Here is a 4,508-nt window from a genome sequence, read left to right as displayed (position 1 = left end):
CATGCACGTAGTGTTTGGTCAGTAAACTTCTGTTACTCATGACTCATTACATTAGTCAACAAATTTTGTATATTTGCCTTTCACGATGATGATGATGGTAAGAGCCCATCTACAAAAGCTTATTAAAGACTCAGGATGTGCAAGATATTGTGTTACAGCCTGTGACTGTAGATCCCAGGGCCGGCAGCTATGAAACTTGGGGATGGGAAATAAAACACATTGCAAACCAATCAGGAACGTCCAGGCACTTAGGATGCTAGATAACTAGAAGAAAGTTCCAGAAGAGGGTTCTAAATATATATTTCACCTTATAAAATTGGAATTCATGTTTCAGTGAGCTGTATACCTGCAGCTAGGGCACCTAGCAAATGTTTACGTGATTGAAAATGCCAGGGTGATTCTTTTCTACCATCTTTTCCTGGTTTTTCCCTTAGTATCTTTCTCTTTAAACTTTGGCAGGTTTGGGACCCTGAATGCATTGATATAATCAGAAAATTGACAAAATTTTATCCATGATACCAAGTAAGGTGCACAAAAAAGAAATTCAGTCAGTAAACAAACTTGGAAAATGTTTATTCTCATGAATAATAAAAAACCATAAAAATTATAACAATAAGATAAAAATTTTCATTTATTACTGAAGATTTTAAAAATTGAAATGCCAGGCCAGGCAGTGGCTCATGCCTGTAATACCAGCCCTTGGGGAGGCTGAGGTGGAAGGATCACTTGAGGCCAGGAGTTTGAGACCAGCCCGGCCAACATGGTAAAAACACATCTCTACTAAAAAATACAAAAATTAGCCAAGTGTGGTGGTGCACACCTGTAATCCCAGCTACTTGGGAGGCTGAGGCATGAGAGTCGCTTGAACCTGGGAGGTGGAGGTTGCCGTGAGCCGAGATCATGCCACTGCAATCCTGCCTGGGCAACAGAGAGAGACTGTCTCAAAAAATTGAAATGCCAGTTAGCATTTGAGAAAGTGGTACTGCAGACATTGCTGTTATTAAATTTAGCTATATATAGCTATATATATATATATATCCAGAACAATAAGATGTTAATAACCTCTAAACAAGTAATTCTATTTCTTGGAATCTAAGAAAATAGGTAGAAAATGTGAATAAGGAAAACAAATGATAATAGTGGTTGTGTTAAGATGGTGGGATTATGGATAATTTTTGTCGTCTAAATGTTTGGTAGTTGTGATTTTGTTACTTTTAGAATTTTAAAACTACATAAAAAAGAAAAACATTAACATTGCCTGTGAAAAATCACTTCGTGTGCCTTGTTAGTAAATAATTTGCTTGATCTCCCAATTACTCAGTATCTTAATTCCCATTGCCATTGGAAGTCCCAACAACTGGGAAGAGATAGATGACTTTATGGGAAATACTTTGATTTGGCTACAAATGCATAGTCAGTACCCACTGGGGCACCAGCATGAGGCTTCCTTTCTCTAAAACCTATCGTGTCTCACCAGCGCTGTAGAGTGAACCTCAGACTCCACAGCCCAGCACTCAGAGCCCTGACCTCTTCCCACCTTTGCCTTCCACCTTCGCCTACTGTTACTCTTGTTGTAGTCTACTGATATTCATTTACACGTGTTTATTAATTAATTTATTCAACAAATATTGAGGGTTTGCCCTGTGCCAGGCAGAGTCCTAAGTCCCCACTGACAAAGAGAAGAGCAAAAACCCTAGAACGGTGGTACCCTCATGGACTGTAGGTCTCGGGATGGAGATGAACGTTCATAAAGAGTCACATGGGTAAATGTCAACTTACAAGAGTTGAGTGCTACATGGTGTTATGGTCATGTGTGAAAGGGGAGAGAGGGTATGTTGCCCCTAGTTTATGGGTAGAAGAGGGTATATTGCCCCTGAAGAAGTGACTATTTGAACTGAGATCTGTTGATGACTCAGTAACCTAAACAAAGGGGTACTACATGGGGACTGTCAACCAAGACTCTCCTCTCTCCTGGTCTAGAGGTAGACACACATGTCCCAGCTGGGCCAGCCAGATTCCTCCTGGCAAGTCACATCTTGAGCAGAGTGATCTGAGGACTAAAAACAACTGCAGCTGCTTCACCCTGAGCGCTGGGCCCTGAAGCAGCTGTCCATCGGTTTCCTCCTCCCAGACTCTAGACCTGACCCGTTTCTGCCTGGCTCTGGGCATAGACGTCCAGCTTCCCCTCTGACTCATGAGTCGGTATCCATCCATTTCTTTTAGCTGAGCTGGTCTTGGTTGCTTGCAACCAAAGAAAGAACTCAAACTCACAGAGGGCAGGTACCCTGGCACAGGGAAACTCAAAGGCCCCACAGTGGGAGGGGACCACTTTAGCAGGACTTCCCAGCACCCTCAGTACCTAGATGCTCTACTCTTTCTTGCCGTATTTTTAGCAGGACTTCCCAGCACCCTCAGTACCTAGATGCTCTACTCTTTCTTGCCGTATTTGCCCATGCCATCCCCCCTTTTGGAACAGTCTCCTCTCCAACCTATACACTTTGATTCTGCCTGTGTGTGTATCTACATTTATATATTTAATTAATTGATGTATTTTTAAGAAAGGGAGAGGAGGCCAGTGTGGTGGCTCATGCCTGTGATCCCAGCACTTTGGGAGGCCAAGGTGGGTGGATTACTTGAGGTCAGGAGTTCAAGACCAGCCTGGCCAACATGGTGAAACCCTGTCTCTACTAAAAAACACAAAAATTAGCCAGGCATGGTGGTGTGCGCCTGTAATCCCAGCTACTCAGGAGGCTGAGGCACAAGAATCATTTGAACCTGGGAGGCCGAGGTTGCAGTGAGCCGAGATCGTGCCACTGTACTCCAGTATGGGTGACAGAACAAGACTCTGTCTCAAAAAAAAAAAGAAAGAAAGAAAAAAGGAAAGAAAGGGAGAGGACAGAGTGGGAGGAGGGAGAAGAAAGAGGAAAAGAGAGGAGGAGAGGAAGAGAGGGGATAGAAGGACAGTGAGAAAGGGAATATACTGAGCTCAGAAGTATCTTCCCTACCAGAATGTGAACGACCCTCCCCTGAACTCCCAGAGCCCACTCCTGTGCACTCTCTAAATCTTGCCTTGCTTTATAGTGTGTGTGTGTGTGTGTGTGTGTGTGTGTGTGTGTGTGTGTCTATCTATCTGTCTTGTGCCCCTGTTGGATAGGAAGCTCCTTGGGGACAGGATCTTGTCAAATTTCTCATTTTCTCTTTCAGAGTACCAGTTCCCGTATCTAAACTTAGTAGATGCTAAAAAGATATTGGTTGGCTGACTGATACAACTAGAAAAAAAAAAAGGCCTCCAAAATTCAGAAGTAAAGGGAGAGGCAACAAATCCTGTCACATCTGGCTTAATTACACATTGATGGTGACCTACTAACAAGGTCTCATGAATAATTTAAAATGTAATTATTCTTTAAGGTTGATCATATTACCCAGATTTTTATATCTCGCATTTTTTGAGCAAATATCTTAACAGGAAGCCGTGCAGTGTGATGATGGAGTCGGAGAGAGAACTGGCTCCACATGCTGCTCTACCACCTCCGACCTGAGTAGTTCATTGGACCTTGGACACTGAGCCTCAGGATCTTTTTCTGAAAAATCATGATAATACTATTACCTCCAAGACTAGCTGATAATAAAGCTCTTGTTAAAGTAGTTAGCAAGTCATTATTTAAATTTTTTGAATATTTTTAACGTTTCATAAAATGTATTGAGTGTATTTAGTCATAATCTACTTAATCATTCTCTTGTTTTTACACATTAAGAGTATGTTTAACATATATATATATATATATATATATATATATATATATATATATTTTTTTTTTTTTTTTTTTAAACAGAGTCTCGCTCTGTCGCCCAGGCTGGAGTGCAGTGGCGCGATCTCTGCTCACTGCAAGCTCTGCCTCCCGGGTTCACGCCATTCTCCTGCCTCAGCCTCCCGAGTAGCTGGGACTACAGGCGCCCGCCACCACGCCCGGCTAATTTTTTTTATTTTAGTAGAGACGCAGTTTCTCCGTGTTATCCAGGATGGTCTCAATCTCCTGACCTCGTGATCCGCCCGCCTCAGCCTCCCAAAGTGCTGGGATTACAGGCATGAGCCACTGCGCCCGGCCAACATTTTAATATTTTAAATAATGCTGCAAATCTAGATCTTGGAGGGAGAACTTTTCATCAAATTTAGATTTATTCCTTAGGATTGATTTCGGAAGTGGAATTATTATATCAAAAGGAAATTTTATGGCTCTTCATATGCATAATCAAATAGCTTTCAAAAATGCAAAACCAATTATGTTCCCACCAATACATGATATATGAGAATTCCCATTTCATCACATTCCTATCAGGATTTCCTGGGTTTTTTTTTAATTTGCAAATCTGATAGGCAGAAAATGCCATCTTGTTTGTTTTCATGTCTTTATTAATGAGGTTAAACATGTTTTCCAGGTATTTGGAAACAAGTTTTGTTTTTCCCTTTTGAGAATTAACTATTCCTGTCAACAAGGCATTCCTAACCA

At 41.6% G+C, this 4,508-nt stretch overlaps 1 protein-coding gene across 12 annotated transcripts in view; it reads right to left on the bottom strand.

The window, feature by feature from the left end:
* The window catches only part of CLUL1 (clusterin like 1), a 53,195-nt gene that overhangs the window by 563 nt on the left and 48,124 nt on the right, over positions 1 to 4,508 (bottom strand). The window contains exon 9 of one of the 12 annotated variants that reach the window (XM_011525648.4): positions 3,490 to 3,581. The exons of the other annotated variants lie outside the window; for them this stretch is intronic. Within the exon in view, the coding sequence (XP_011523950.2) occupies position 3,581 (1 nt within the window). The 3' untranslated portion in view covers positions 3,490 to 3,580. Of the gene's footprint in view, positions 1 to 3,489; positions 3,582 to 4,508 lie in introns of those variants that run through there. 12 annotated transcript variants of the gene reach the window in all.

Source organism: Homo sapiens, chromosome 18 (assembly GCF_000001405.40).
Source record: "Homo sapiens chromosome 18, GRCh38.p14 Primary Assembly".
NCBI lineage: Eukaryota > Metazoa > Chordata > Mammalia > Primates > Hominidae > Homo > Homo sapiens.
The sequence above is the reverse complement of the archived record's forward strand: the minus strand, read 5'-3'. Positions and strand labels throughout refer to the sequence as shown.